General features: G+C 37.1%; 1 protein-coding gene across 3 annotated transcripts in view; it reads left to right on the top strand.

Moving 5' to 3' along the window:
- Window positions 382-17090, top strand: part of C8A (complement C8 alpha chain) — a 63427-nt gene continuing 46718 nt past the window's right edge. For all 3 annotated transcript variants that reach the window (NM_000562.3, XM_017002234.2, XM_011542079.3), the window contains exons 1-2: window positions 382-563; window positions 13194-13287. In NM_000562.3, the coding sequence (NP_000553.1) occupies window positions 487-563; window positions 13194-13287 (171 nt within the window). In that variant the 5' untranslated portion in view covers window positions 382-486. The remainder of the gene's footprint in view (window positions 564-13193; window positions 13288-17090) is intronic.

The raw sequence follows: 17090 nt of genomic DNA on the forward strand, positions 1-17090 counted from the left end.
CATTTTTCTGAGTGCTTTATGTCTGAGTTGATATACCAATATTAGCCTTGTTTCAGTCTTGCAAAATAGATTGATCTGACCTCAGAAGTTCCAAGAGACACTGAAAAAGACCAGGAATTCTAGAACTGCATCTTGGTTTGGTTTTTGCCTCCTTTTGAAAATAAGACCTCTTTGCTAAGCTGGTATTAGTTAAATATCTTCCTTTCCTTAACCACACGGATATTGTTTTTCAAAAGGTCTAAAGGGCAGTGGCCTTTGGTGCCTGGAACACTTTTAGAGTATTTAGGTAATCAATACCCTGGTTACTATTTAACCATATTTGAAAGAGAATCAAGTGAGTTCTGTGCAAATCAATGTGTATCTGGGTGAGTTTCCAACATCAGATAGATCTTACAGGTCCCAGCCTGTAGACATCTTTTACTCCAATTTCCTGAATAGATAGCTTTATTCCTTCAAGGTAATATAGTGCGGTGGCTTCTGGCTGAGATGTTTGCTGTTGTTTTCTTCATCTTGTCTTTGATGACTTGTCAGCCTGGGGTAACTGCACAGGAGAAGGTGAACCAGTAAGTGGGCCATATGTCTCTGCAAAACTTGCACGTAGGAATCACCTGCTGGGGAACTAAGACACTTTTATGTTTGCAGCAGAGGCTGTGTTAGAATGGAAAATAACCTCTTTTCATGTTATTACTACTCCTGTGGAGGAGGATGGGACAGTGAAAAGACCGTGCACTTGGAGTCAAATTGGTCTATGTGTAAATCACAGCTCTAATGCTTAGAAGCTGAATAATTCAGGGTAAATCATCTCATCGGTTTGATCCTTAGTTTCCCTAGCTGTAAAATGAGAATAATAATACCTCTTCTATAAGAGTTAATGTAGATAAAATAAGATCCTGAATATAAAATGTACTCAGCTTATAGTAGACACTTAATAAATGACAGTTCTCCTGAGTGGTGCTGAACAGTTAACTTAACCCCTACTTTCTTATCTGTAAAAGAGCATCATAAGAGTGCTGTCTCATAGTTTTGGGGGAGGATAAAATTAGATAATGTGTTCAAAATCACTGTGGGGAAGGCAAAGGACTATAGAGATGCTGGGTCATTTGATTCTAAAAATGACTTTATCTTTTGCTATGGGATAATAGAGGGAGGTGATGTAGTTTCATATGTACATTGTGTTTTACCCATTCTATTTTCTTGAGATTTCCAAGCTTGCTTCATGGGTTTTTTTTTTTTGGTATCTTAATATTAAGTATTTTGTGGAGCCTAAGCAGTCCTTTATTTCACCTTCGGGATAGCTTTAAAGCAATCCCTGTCTCCCAAACATTAAAGATTTTAAATAGAATTATTTAATTCTAATTCTTGATAGATGATGCAATTTTGAATCATTAGTGCTTTTAAATGCTAGAGCAAGTGAGAATTCCTTTAAGTAACAGTTCAGAAGGGAGGAAAGCATTTTTAAAAGCAGTTAATTTGTAACTTGTATTTAAAGGAAATACAATTTTGAAATCAGAAAATTCATCTGTAATAATTAGAAGATAAAGGCAAGAGAACTGTGTAAAGGAAATCTCCGCCGAGATATTCTTAATTATAAAAGCTTATCATTGTAATCCTTTTTGAAAATGAACAAAGAGTCTTGATGTTTGATGAACTTATCAAACAAGACAGACCAGTGAAGGGGCAAATTTCAAGTCAAGGCAAAATGGAACCAATTAAATACTTTACAAAGTGCTGAAGGAGGAAATCATGAGGTCTTTGTATCTAATGCCAGTGTGTCTGACACTGACTTTGAAAGTGAAAAACTACATGGTGAAATGATTTTATTAGGTTCAAATTCTGGCACTGACATTCACTAGCTGTCTGATCTCAGGCAAGTTATTTAATTTTTCCAAGCTTCATTTTCCTTACCTGTACAATGGGAGGAAAGTAAGAACAAAAATTAAATGCATGAAAGTACTTAGATCAATACCTGTTACCTATTACCTAGTAATCATTCAGTGAAAGCTGTCACCAGTGCTGCTGTGTGATTGTTATTGTTATTTTTTGGTATTTCCATTCCCTTGATGGTTGACAATAATCAGACAAAACAAATTTATAATATGCCAATTGGCATGGATCTTTCTGATCAGTCAGAGATTTTAAACTTTATTTTTAAGTAATAGCACTCTTTTTCCCTGCAAAATAAAATTTCACATGAACCCTAACATTGAAAACATATTATATAGTTTTACATTTTAATGGTACACATTTATTTTATAAGTTCATGTTTAACATTTGCTTATTATAAAATCTTAAAAATTTGTTGAGAAAAACATTTTAAAACAATGGTGATGGAAGGAAGTTATAATCTTCAGCCTAAAAATCAGTGGATCTCTATTACATATTTTATACAAATTTATTTTATAAGTTCATGTTTAACAGTTGCTTATTATAAAATCTTAAAAATGTGTTATTTGAGAAAAACATTTTAAAACAATGGTGATGGAAGGAAGTTATAATCTTCAGCCTCAAAATCTGTGGGTCTCTATTACATATTTTATACAAATAACACCTTTCATTATGTGTGTTGCTTAGAAGTTTTTAATTTCAAGTTTCTAATTTGCTTAGAAGTTTTAATTGCAGTTCTTTTAATGTATTGGGATTTGTTTTTTACTAAGAGTGTGATCAACCTTAGTGAATATTCCATATGCTCAAAAAAGTGCATTATTCTGTTGTTCAGTGTAGTTCCAAGTCAATTAAGTCAAGTTGGTTGTTAATGTCACTCAAGTTTTCATCTTGTTCTATTGATTACTGAGAAAAGAATGTTGCAATCTCCAACTGTATTTGTGGATTTGCCTACTTACAGTTCTATCAGTTTTTGCTCCATGTATTTTAAAGCTCTGTTATTAAATACACACACACACACACACACACACACATCTAGAGTTATTCTGACTGCTTGATAATTTACCCTTTTATTATCATGAAAGGCTTCCATTATCCCTGGCAATGGTCCTTGTTCTGCAACCTATTATGTTTATTATTAATACATATAGTTATGCTTGCTTTCTTATGATCTGTGTGTGCATGGCAAATCTTTTTCTATTATTTTATTTTAACTTATATGACTATATTTAAAAATATAATTCATGTGAACATACATAGATGAGGCTTGCTTTAGCTAGTCTAACAATCTCTGTCTTTTGATTATAGTAATTAGACCACTTATATCAAATATAATTATTGATATGCTTGGGTTTGAGTTCACCATTTTACAATTTGTTTTCTATGTGTCCCATGTCTTCCTTGTTTCTATTTTTTTCTTTTTTTGGGCCATCTTTTAGATTTATATTTTTCTAATTCCAAGGTGGTATGGTTCTGTGGGTTATAGTTTTCATCAAATTTGAAAATTTTTGCCATGATTCATTCATATATGTTTTCTGCCCCATACACTCTCATCTGTCTTTCTTATAGTCCAATTACAGAGATGCTAGCCTGCTTGATAAAGTCCCACAGGTCAGTGATGCTCTTTCTTATTTTGTTGTTGGCAGTTTATTTTCTGTTTCATTTTGGTTTCTATAACTCTATATTTATTAATTTTTTGTTCTGCAATGTTTAATCTGCTGTTAAGCCTGTCCAGTGAATTTTAAATTTCAGTTAATATAATTTTCAGCTTTAAATGTCTCATTTGGTACCTTCTACTATCTTCTACTACCCTTCTCATTATCCTCTTAATTCTCCTCAAATATTGGAGCATATTTACAATAACACTTTTAATGTTCTTGTATGCTGATTCCATTATTTCTGTTTCGTTGGTCTTTAGAATTAGGAAGGATTTAGTATCTAGCTTAATCCACTCATGTTGCAGAGCAAGAAACTGAACCTTAGAGAGAGAAGGGGAGTATTCAATAACAAGATAACTCAGATAGGCATTTATGAATACTGGCCAATTTAACCCTTATTACATTCTTCTAAGAGTGTTGATTTTACTATCCATCAATTGAAGGCCAAAATTTTCAACCCAATATTTCCATTGATGAAAAGCAGAATTCCTTAGGGGAATTTAAAAAATGTGAATGAAGACCCCAAACATAGAGGACAACTATCTAAGCTTCTAAAGTTTTTCTTTTTGCTAAGTAGGCCTATAGGCAGTTGATCCTAAAGAAGTTTCAATCATGATGTCCCTTTTTATTTTATTGCTTTTATGGACATCAGAGTATGTTTACCAAAGCATCTTGGGCCAAGGCCATGTGAATATTTTTAATAGTAGTCCAGAAGACTGAAAATTGATATGTATTCAGGAAACATGAATTTTTAATTAATGAAAACAATTGGAGTAGTGGGTGTGACTCAAAAGCGAATCATGTAATATGGAAACTGTTATTCAGGGTAACTAATCTTTAGCAATACTTCAGGTGGCATTGGGTCTGGGCTATGAAGTATAATCAATCTGGGATTAAGTCCTGGCATCACCACGTAGTGGCTATGGAAGTTGCGCCAGTTGCTTAAACTTCCTAAGCTTCATTTTTTGTTTCATCTATGAAATGGAGATAATACATATTTCTTAGAGTTCTTGTCAGGACTTTAGTAAGTTTATATAAAGTACTTATAACAGAACCTGGTACATGGTAAGCCTTTAGAAAATTATTTTTATTACCCTATTTCTCTTTTGTCAGAAATCCTTCAGAATACATCTCAGAATGCTTAAAAAATGCATAGGCTTTGGAGTCTTTGTTGGTTTGAATTCTGGCCTTGCCACTTTCTACCTACATAACCTTAAGCAAGTTATTTCAACTTCTTATGAATCTGTTTTACTCATCTATAAAATGGGAATAGTACTTCCTACCACCACAGGGTTCTTGTGAAATTTTAATGAAATAACTTAAGATTATATGAGATAATATATTCAAGGTACTGTGCTAAGCACTAGGGTACAATGGTGAGCAATACAGTCATAATCTCTGTCTTCCAGAGCTTGCAGTCTAGGAGTAGGAATAAAGTGTTAGAAGATCCATGTATATGGCACTATGTTAGCATAGGACAGGCAGGCTAAAGAAAGATATCTGGAGAGAATGAACTGAAGTGGAAAGGTTTGGCCAGATGAATGAGATATGATTAGCATTCTGTGGAGGAAATAGCATTATGCAAATACTGCAGGAGAGCCCAGTACATGCTTGGAACTTAAAGTTCTGTATGGAATTCTATGTGCATCTAGCACACAGTGGATACTTTTTTGGATTTATTTATTCATTCATTCAATAAATAAATATTACATGTATGCTAGGTGTTAGGTAATAAACTGAACAGATAATGTTTCAACACTCATAGGATTTACAGTGTAGCGATGGAGTTAGTCAATAAATATATAAAAAAAAATTATCTTAAAAATTGTGGGTGCGGTGGCTCACACCTGTAATCCTAGCACTTTGGGAGGACGAGGCAGGTGGATCACTTGAGCTCAGGGGTTCGAGACCATCCTGACCAACATGGTGAAACTCTGTCTCTACTAAAAATACAAAAAATTAGCTGGGCATGGTGGCACATGCCTGTAGTCCCAGCTGCTCGGGAGACTGAGGCACGAGAATTGCTTGAACCTGGGAGCCGGAGGCTGCAGGGAGCCGAGATCGTGCCACTGCGCTCCAGTCTGAGCAGCAGAGCAAGACTCTATCTCAAAAGAAAAAATTTTTTTTTACATTGTGATAAATACTGTGAAGGAAATAAATGGGGCCCTTTGTTAGAGGATATCAGAGCAATCTAAAGACAGGCTGATTGAGGGAATTTTCTGTAAAGATGGCATTTAAACTGAGATGTGAAGGGCGGTAGTGAGAAGCCGGGTGAAGAGCAGGGTAAAGCGGAGGGATCACCTGTGCTAAGACTCTGTGGTTGGAAGTGGCTTGTCATGTTTGAGAACTGAAGGATGGGAGCAACATGAAAGCAGAGAAATGTGCCTTAAGAAGATGTCACAAAATTGGACAGAGGCCAGATCCCAAAGAACCTTAGGCACCACAATGAGAAATTTGGAATTGAGTGTATGGGTAGTAAAACACACACAAACACAAAAACAAATATCACTGAGAGTCTTATAAAGGAAGGATGTTATCTGATTTCTCATTTGAAAAAATTTTCTTGATTGCTGTGCAGAGAATGGATTGGAGAAAGGTAAAGTAGAAGAAGGTCTTGGCCCACAGGAAGGCATAACAAGGAGCTGCTTAAAAGAGAAAATGAAGAGTTTACATGTGGAACCATTAAGTTTGCCATGTCTAAGAGGCATTTGATAGACATATCAAATGGAGAAGTTGGATAAACAAAACAGAACTACAGAGGACTAGTCTAGGTTGAAGGTCTAAATGTAGGAACATTTGCACAGATGGTGTATGAAGCCAAGGACGTGGATCTTACCTTCTTAAGGGTGAAAAAAGCAGAAAGAGAAAAAGAAGAAAGACCGGACTGCACTTTGAGGAATTCCAGTTTTTGGAGAACTGGCCAGAGGCAGGAAGAGAGTGAGGAGGAATTGTGCTGAAGAAGTCCAAGAGATGAAAGTTCTCATGAAGAAAAAAGTGGTTCACAGACTGCATCTTAGTCAGTTTTGTGTTGTTATAAAGGAATACCTGAAGCTGTGTAGTTTATAAAGGAAAGGAGTCTATTTGGCTCATGGTTGTGCAAGTTGTACAAGAAGCATGATGCCAGCATCTGCTTGGCTTCTGGTGAGAGCTTTTTTATTAAATTGACATAAACATGCTTATTGTGTTTTATTGAGCACCTATTATATGCCAGGTACTGTTCTGGGCCCTGGGGATATAAATGAGAAAGACAAAGTGCTTGCTCTCAGCTCTCATGAAGCTTCTATTCTAGAAAATGTATGCAAATATTTTATATACTTTAAGTTCTATAAAGAAAATAAATTAGGAACATCCTGGTGAGTACTTTTGTGCTGCTTCAAAACATGGCAGAGAAGGTAAAAAAGGAAGTGGGCACATTCGAAGAGGGACCAAACAGGAGGAGGAACCTTGCTTTACAACAACTCATTTCCATGGGCCCAGTGAGAATGAGTCTGTCTAGCCAGGAGAACCCACTCACTACCACAAGAGCAGCACTAAGCCTTTCCTGAGGGATCTGCCCCATGACCCAAACACCTCCCACCAGGCCCAACACTGCCACATCGGGAATCAAGTTTCAACATGAGTTTGTTTTTCTCCCCCTACTTATTACACTCATGCAATCAACATGAGTGGGGACAAATAAACCATAGCAGAGAGCAAGTAAAACAAAACTAGACAATTTTCCACTGCACTTAGCAACATGGAGGTTGCTGAAGACTGAGCACTTTCAAAGTTAAATCTAAAATACCTCTATTGTATGATGGAATCTCCATGTAACTGGATGGGACTGGCTTAAGATTATATAATTAGTGATAATCAGATTTTAATACAAGCTGAGCCAATTTATTGGGATAACCCCCTGGTAATCATCAGAGTTAGACTTTCTGACCTTCTAGCCTAGGATTGGTAGCTAATTAATTATTTTCTTTTCTAAAATGCTGAAGAGGCCACATTCTGGGTCAAGTGTTTGACTTGCGCATTGCTTATTCAAGTCTAGGTTTTAGACTCTTTGCCCAATATGCTGCCCTATTTTAAAAGGCAGATGGGAAGCATCTCACTTGTCCACAGCCCTATCCGAGTACATTCAATATATTTTTGATGAAGATGGGGTGGTTTGATGAGCATGTGTGACGTTGACAAGGTTAGAGTGATGCTAACATGTATGCCAGGCTTGTGCTCGAGATTTTACATACATGATCTCACCCCATATTCAAAATAGTCTTGCAAACGATTTTCCCTGTTTTATAGCTATAAGAAAATTGAAGTTCAATAAGTAGCAGAAATCAGATTCAAATGCATATTTGCTGGACTCTAAACCTCTTTCTTTTACATCGGTGTTTCAACTGTGTTACATAGTCTTACAGATGATGCATACAAAAAGAAATGGCCTGTGTTTCCTCACAAAATTTGGGAAATGCCAGGTTATGCAAATTAAAATGCAGAAACTCTCTGAACCTTCAATATGTTATTGAGCATTTTGAATCTCCAAGAACAATATGGTGTATGCAGTTCATCCAAATGTATTTGACCATGGAACTTTTCTCCTCTTCCTCCCCGACCCCAGTGCATATCTCAGGAACTGGTACTCTGCAGGGTACATTTTGAGAAACTCTGCAATAGCACCATATAGACTTGTGCTCATTCTACAGACTAAAAAACTAAAAGTCAGTTAAAGCAGCTTGCTCATAGTAGCCCAGCAGATGAGAGGCAAACTGAAGATTAGAAGCAAAGACTCCTGAGTCCCTATGCTCCGTATTAAATGTCTTACTGATTGAGTAGATTTTCGCCAGCTGAGAGATGCCTTAAAAATATTTTCCAAGATTTATTAGGCCATGGAATTATGAATGGCTCCTTAAGTAATTAAAAAATTTATACAGTTCTTTTGGAAAGCCATTTGGCAATATGTGCCATAAGCTCTAAAATCCCTTCAATGCAGTCATCCCACTCTGGAGGATATATCTTCAATAAATAACTTGAATACAGAAAAACTGGGGACTCAATAATCTAATTGTTTAATATAAGGGGAGTGGAACAATGTGTATTACCATAAATAGTTTATGTTTCTGCTCTATTATTAAGTGGAAGAATCAGGATATAAAATGTAATACTCAGTATGACCTCAATATGTTATGAAAATAAACAGAAGAAAATATAACTAAATATTAATGACAGTAAAATTTGGGGCAATTCTTTTCATTTATGATCTTTCTTATGTTCTCTGTAATGAGACTGTATTACTTTTATAATCATCAAAAAATGAACTACATTGAAAAATTTATTGGAATAATAAAATGTTGGTCACATTGGTATTGGCTAAAAGGTTGGAGCCCTGTAATGACTTTAATGAATGGTCCTGGTGTACTTTCTGTACTCTGGCCTGCGTGATAGCATTAGCATGTATGCCTCTGTCTAGACTTCATGTCACAAGGCTTTTAAAACTACAGCAATACACCAACTGCTCTCTGTCTAGGCTTTTGCTTCCATCCATTAGTACTGTTTCCCTCTGGTTTGACACATAATGCAGTCTCTATGGGCTTACAATGACATTATCTTGACAATTGTGTAGTGAGATGCAGAAATAATGCTGGAGTCCTTTTCTGTTCTCAAACCTTCTCCCTATACCTTCTGTCTCTCCTTCCAATTCGCCATGTTCCCCCACTTCAAACTTTTATTATTAGAACAGTCTATTAGAAAAATACGTGTGTAACCAACCCTGAGCCATTTGAATGTCAAGATACCAGGATCTAATTTAATTTAGATTATAAGAATCAGGTTCAAATAAATATCTCAACAATGTCACTGCCTATATCCCAGAAATTGGTTTTATTATTTCCCTTCCCTCCCTCTCTCACTCCCTTCCCTCCCACCCTCTCTCCCTCCCTCCCTCCTTCTCTCCCTTCCTTCCTTCCTTCCTTTCTTCCTTCCTTTTTTCCCTCCCTCTTTCCCTTCCTTTTTTCCTTTTGTAAATATTTACTGAGCACTTTCCATGGGTCTGGCCCATGATAGGTGCTGGGAACTCTGTAGCAAATATAGACAGTATCTGCATTCATAGAGCCTAGAATCTGGTAGAGAAGAAATAAATCATACAAATATTACAAGTTTGATAATTAAGAATTGAGAAAATGTGCAGAGATTGACGAAATCATATGAAGGAGGTTTTCAACCAGTCTGGATATCAGGAAATATTTCCCTAAGGAATTGATGTTTATGATGAGAATGAAAGATACATAGGAATTAACCAAAGTAAAGAGGTAGATAATTGGATTCATTCAGGGTTGGGATTTACAGTTAGGTGTGATTGAGGGAACAGTGGGGTCTAGGTGTTTAGAATATAGGTAAGATTGTAAAGTGATGAATCATGGAATCAAAACTGGTTATAAAGGTAAATAAAGAGAAGAGGGGGTCTTATTGAAAGGGAGGAAGCTTAGATGTTGAGATAATGGAGATCCCAATGAGGTTCAAGAAAAAGTGCAGTGGGAATCCCCTTAAGCATATAAGATAGAAGAACAAGAGGCTGTGGAGGCCCCAAGTAACTATTCACAGGTGATTCATGAATGAATGACTTGGAGGAGGAGTTGTTTTAGAGAGTGAGAAGGTTCAGAAGAGAAGATAATTACAGATAAGGAAAAGGAGCAACCGAGCAACCAGAGAGTTGGATGACTCGTTTATAAGGATGATGAGTCTCCCAGCATGATGACAGGAATTGATGTAGGGGGAATATTGTGAGCTGGGCAATGAAGTTTTCTTTGAAGGGATGGGAGGGCTTGTGCCTGCTAGCACCATGTTACAAATTAGAGTTTCTCAAAGTGTGTTCTTTAGACCCCAGAAAGTCCCCACCATCTTCTCAGGGGAACTGTAATTTCAAAACAGTTCTCATAATAATGGTAAGACATTATTTTCCCCTTTTACTGTGTTTACAGTCGCACTGATGGTACAGAGGCACCAATGGATAAAACTGCTAGGGCCTTGGTCAAAATCAAGGCAGTGGCACTAATCTCATAGGAAAAAATAAACAAACAAACAAAACTCCTAAGTTTTAAGTTTTACTTAAGAAAGTCCTTCTAGAAACAGTAAGAATTGTTAATTTAATTAAACCTCAATCCTTGAATAGATGGGACTTAAATATTCTATGTAACAAAATGGGAAGAACGCATAAAGAAATCATTGAGTATACACTGAGTATGATGGTTGTCTTGAGGAAAAGCAATTATTTGAACTGTAAGTTAAGGTAGCCACTTGTCTTACTACTTGGACTACTATAACAAATTACCATAGACTGGATGGTTTAAGCAGCAAGCATTTATTCTTCACAGTTCTGGAGACTGGGAAGTCCAAGATCAAGGCACTGGCAGATTCAGTGTCTGGTGAGGGCCTACTTCTTCGGTTAACAGGTGATCGTCTTCTAGCTGTGTCCTCACGTGGTGGAAGGGATGTGGGAGGTCCCTGTGATCTCTTTAATGAGGGCACTAATTCCATTCATGAGGGCTTCACCCTCGTGACTTAGTCACCTCCCAAAAGCCCCACTTCCTAATACCATCAGATTGGGGATTAGGTTTCAACATATAAATATGGGGGGACATAAACATCAGTCAGTAAGACCACTTTTTTTCCTGGAACATCATTTTTTCTTGATGAAAAAACTACCAAACTATGGTTATTTGGGCTTAGATATTTGGCATGCATTGTATAAAAAATGCAGAGACCCTATCATTTCAAGGAAAACAAATAACATTACTTGTTACTAATGACAAGATTTGAGCTTCTATGAGAAAATTAAAATTTGGGGAAACATATCCACTACCATGAACTTGACGAGATCACTGGTGATATTAACAGGTTTGATGTTTAGATATTATACAGTGAAATGCATTAATATTTGTAAGGCACATACTCAGTGAACCATTATTTTCCAAATTTCAAATGCCTGATATCATAAAAATTGTATATGGGCACAAGATCCATTCAAAGTATAAAGACCAATGGATTTTAATGTGACAGAGAACAAAAAATTCACTTATATGCTTTCAGGTTCCACATGCCACTAACATGTAAGAAATTGCCACTTGTCAAGTTTTCATGTAATACCAAAGGAGAACATCCACAGTTATTGGAAAAGGCTGTTAAAACACTCCTCCCCGTTTCAACTACATAACCATGTGAGGCTGACTTTTCTTCATAGATTTCAACCAAATCAATATATAGCAACAGATTGGATGAAGAAGCAGAAATAAGATTCTAGCTATTTTCTACTAAACCAGACATTAAAGGGATTTGCAAAAATGTACATTTATGGTAACATGTAATAGGTTTGTTATTGTAATTTTAAATAAGTTAATAAATATTTTTTAAATTTCTCAGTTTTAATTTTGAATTCTGTGAATATTGGTAGATCTAGCCCACTTACCAGCTCTTCGGAGTCTTTAGTAATTTGCTGAAATGTAAAGGTATACTGAGACCAAAAGTTTGAGAACCAGAGTTAAAGATAGACAAAATTTTCTGAACTATTCCATGGCTCCTTGTGCCGAGTTTCAACTTAGGTGTCATTATTCATCAAATTCATTACATCATTAGCATGAGATTTGAAACACTTTCTGTTCCTACACTAGGGTTATAATCATGCCATTCATCACAGCAGTGGCTGCCTGGCTCTCAGAGGCTGTGGTAATTCTAGTGTTAACAGTGTTCCCACTTTCCCAGTGGGCCAATCTGGCTTTGAAGTTGTAGCAGTGGTACTATGGGAAGAGGCTAATGTGGAAGCCAGGCAAACTTGCGGCTTGTCTCTCTTTCCCTGAGTAGGCATTTTAATTGGTGAGGGGGAAGTATAGGGTAAGAGAAGGATCGTGGGCTTGGAGATATGCTCTCTCATGTCTGTTGGCTGATTCATAAAATGAGGCAGTAGCATGATGAGGAGCAGGAAATGGGTTTTGCCATCAAACCAACTAGTTCCAATTTTGCCTCTGTCATTCCTGGGTTATGACTTCAGGGCTACTTAGCTTTTAGGAATCCCAGCTTTCTTACACTGTACATAAAATAGATCTAATAATATTTATCTCCAAGGATTGTTATAGAGATTAAATGAGATAATCCACATAATGTCCCAGCATGTAATAATGAAAATCATCTTGTAGTAAACCTTTCATAAGCATTTCAATACACTTTCAATAACCCTTTTAGGTAATGTTTTTTAATGTAGTTTTATAGATGGGAAAGCTGTAGTTCAGAGATATTAAGTAATTTACTCAAGTTTTCAAAGTCAGCAAGTGGTTAAGATTCAAACCCAATCCTCTTACCCCAGACTCCACATTCTTAACCACTGAGCTTTCTGCTACTTTGGCTCTTCAAAAATTGTTAGCCCTCTTTAATATTCTTCTCTCTAAAATTATAATAATTTGATGCATGGGGGACTGATATAGTATTAAAGGGATAATTTATATAAACCCTCTAGCACCATACACTCTCTCATTTCTGTTGGCATTTCTACATAAAGTAGGAGTACAATAAATGTTCATTCCTCATTTCTTCCAAACCATGTTTTACTGGAAGGAAAATGTGCACAGCTTTCTCATTTGCTTAAATTTTGCATCTCAAAATTGATGCATGGATCTTCCCTTTCTTTAGGAGAGTAAGACGGGCAGCTACACCCGCAGCAGTTACCTGCCAGCTGAGCAACTGGTCAGAGTGGACAGATTGCTTTCCGTGCCAGGACAAAAAGGTGAGACACTTACAACCGGTTTGGGGGCATTTCATATTTGATATGTGTATTAGGCATTCAAATGGAGATTAAGCAGTCCACTATGTCTAGGGGCCTGGGGAGAAATTGGGTCTAGAAATTGTTGTTTGAAATCCATTATACATGGATGGTGAAACTTGTTTCCGTGTCTCCTAATTTTGTTTGTAAGGTAGTGTTGAGTGAGGCTGCAAAAGATGTATGTTATGGCTCATAGGCAGAAAAGTCACTATCTGTACATGGGCACGTTTGTTTCTCTCTGAGTCATGGCAAATCTATTGCCCACTCATGAGGGTCTTCTGGAGGAAGTAATAGCTTAGAAACAAAATACAAAGCTGCCCATGAGGAGATGAGATAATCCAAGGGATATCCCAGAGTGTGTTCTTGAGAATTCCACTTTCATATATTGAAAAGACCAACACACCCAATGAAGAGAGGTGTGTTTACTTTGCCTATCTAAATGGTTTTGAATAGTTCAAAATGATCCCTAGTACCATTGACATATGAAGGGAAGAGGGATGTTGGGAGCCCTCCACTCAGGCAGAGGCGAGTATTAAAATTCTGACTTTGTTCAGAATCCCTGGCTCACAGTAATAATAAAACATAGTCAGCCAGGTGTGAGGGCTCACACCTGTAATCCAAGCACTTTGGGAGGCTGAGGCAAGAGGATTACTTGAGCCCAGAAGTTCAAGACCAGCCTGGGCAACATAGCAAGACTTAGTCTCTACAAAAAATACACACACACAGAAAATTAGCTGGGCATGACAGTGCACACCCACAGTCCCAGCTACTCAGGAGGCTGAGGCAGGAGGATCACTTGCGCCCAGGAGTTTGAGGCTGCTGTGAGCTTAGATTGTGCCACTGCACTCCAGCTTAGGTTACAGAGCCAGACCCTGTCTCATAAATAAATAAATACGTAATAAAACACAGTGTAACTTCTAGTCTGTTTTATTATTGTTTTAAAATTTCCTTCAGACTCACATGCCTGTATCAGATGCTCCCTTCCCCACTCGGCATACCACTCACTGCCTGAACCTTGTCTATTAGCACATTACCTCTGAGTTTAAGTGTTAAGATTCAGTTCTGCACTTTAGATCCAGCTTTGCCTCTTATCTGCATTGTTACTTTGGGAATATTTTTAATCATCTTTGTGCCTCAGTTTCATTATGTATAAATTGGAGTATAAAAGTACCTACTTTCTAGAATTATTGTGAGCAATACATGAGTAATGCACACAAAACCCTTCTCATGCATCTGGCTCAGAATACATGTTTAAGGAATTCCAGATGTTTTCCTTCTTTTATTTTTTCATTTTTATTTCAATAGTGTTTGGGAAACGTAGGTTTTGGTTACATGGATAAGTTCTTTCGTGGTGATTTCTGAGATTTTGGTGCTCCCATCACCTGAGCAGTGTACACTGTACCCAATGTGTAGTCTTTTATTCCCTCACCCTCCCCACCCTTCCACCCGAGTCCCCAAAGTCCATTATATTATTCCTATGCTTTTGCATCCTCATAGCTTAGCTCCCACTTATAAGTGAGAAGATGTGATACTTGGTTTTTAATTCCTGAGTTACTTCACTTACAATAATGGCCTCCATGTCCATCCAAGTTGCTGCAAAGACCATTAATTTCATTCCATTTTATGGTTGAGTAGTATTCCATGGTGTATATGTACCACATTTTCTTTATCCACTCGTTGGTTGATGGGCATTTGGGTTGTTTCCATAGTTTTGCAATTGTGAATTGTGCTGCTATAAACATGTATTACAGTCTCTTTTGTATATAATGACCTTTTTTTCCGCTTAGGTAGATACCCAGTAGTGAGATTGCTAGATTGAATGGTAGTTCTAGTTATTTAAGAAATCTCCACACTGTTTTCCATAATGGTTGTACTAGTTTATATTGCCACCAGTAGTGTAAAACTGTTCCCTTTTCACCACATCCATGTCAACATCTATTATGTTTTGATTTTTTAATTATGGCCATTCTTTCAGGAGTAAGGTGATATCTCATTACAGTTTTAATTTGTGGAATGCCAGCTGTTTTTTAATAATTATCTGTGCTTTCCTCTTCATTCTCAGTCCGATTGCCTTGAATTAATCCCTGCTTTTCTCTCACCTGAGTTCTTGCAGGGTTTGTGAATGGTCATCCTGCCTCCAGACCCACCACTCAGTTAGTGAGGTGCTCTGGGAATGTTCCTGATGAGTTATTCAAAATTGCATAGCTAGTAAGTGGCAGAAACACACACAATTTTGACCTAGTTCATTCAACATCAAAGCCTGAAATTTGTTATTCTGCCTCTCTCATCTCTGAGAAGTGCTGAAGAATCTTAGACTGTTCCTGTTTAAATGTGTCTGATCCCTACGTGCTCATTTTGCTCTGACATCCTGTATTAGTTTCTTGAGTTCACTGGAACAAATTCCCACAAACTTGGTGGCTTAAAACAACAGAAATGTATTCTCTTACAGTTCTGGAGGCCAGAAGTCTGAAATCCAGGTATCAGCAGAGCCATGCTCCCTCTTAGAGGCGCTAGAAGGGACTCTGTTACTAGGTTGGTGCAAAAGTAATTGCAGTTTTGGCATATCAAGTAACAGCAAAAACTGCAATTACTTTTGCAGCAACCTAATATTTGCCTCTTCCAGCTTTTGGTGGCATTGACAATCCTTACCTTGTGGCTGGATCACTGCAGTCTCTGCCTCCCTGGTCACGTTGCTGCCTCATCTGTGTGTCTTCTCCTCTGTGTATCTGCCTGTAATCTCTCTCTGCCTTCTTCTTACAAAGACACTGTGATGACACTTAGTGCTATCCAGACAATCCAGGGTAATATCCTCATCTCAGAAACTTTAATAATGTCTGCAATGGCCGGCTTTCCAAATAAGGTAACGTTTACAGGTTCCATAAATTAGGACTTGATATCTTTGTGTGGCCATTATTCAACCTGTTATATATCCTAAATTAAATTTTTCGTATTTATTTCAGTTTAGACAGCAGGTACCACAAGACAATGACTTGCAGTTTAAATCAGAATAGAATTATTTCCTTACTGACTCAAAAACACGTGCGTTTTTAAAGTAACCCTTAAAATAATTAATTCTGTTAATTAGGTGAAAGACCACCCTAGTTTTTTTTATTAATATGTTTCTTCTTCTCAAAATCATCCAAACAAAGATGTACATTTATGGAAGGAAACATTATCTACCAGTTAGAAAAGAAAATTATGTCTTAATGATCCCAACCACAGGCAATAGCATGGAGAAGTCCCTAAGGGAATATTGGCACCAACCTTCCTGCCACACAAATATCTTCATTATTTGATAGCAACCTAGAAAATAGGGAATCAATGGGAATGAACCTTATGGCTTGCACCATAATTCCCAGTATAGATACTATAGGAAGGATGACAATGGCAATAGTCACCATTTATTAAATAATTTCTAGGTACCAGACAATTGTGCAAATGCCTTAAAAAATTATCTTGTTTGACTTTCACAGCCAACTGTAAATGACAGACATCATCATCCACTTTGTTTAGGTCACCCATTAAGAACATGACAGAGCCTTGATTTAAAACTTGGTCAGTTGACTCCAAAAAGCTTCCGCGGCTGACCGCTCCACACTACTGCCTCCCGCTGAACCATCCAGGAGAGTAATGAGTGACATAAGTGGTCACTTCAATTCCTTTTGAAGTAGTCCAACAGCTGGATACAAGAATGATGATGACATTGATAACTACTATTATTGAGTGTATATCAGAAACCAGGCAAATTGATGATTTCTTTACATGTG

The sequence above is a fragment of the Homo sapiens genome, chromosome 1 (genome assembly GCF_000001405.40).
Source record: "Homo sapiens chromosome 1, GRCh38.p14 Primary Assembly".
Lineage (NCBI taxonomy): Eukaryota > Metazoa > Chordata > Mammalia > Primates > Hominidae > Homo > Homo sapiens.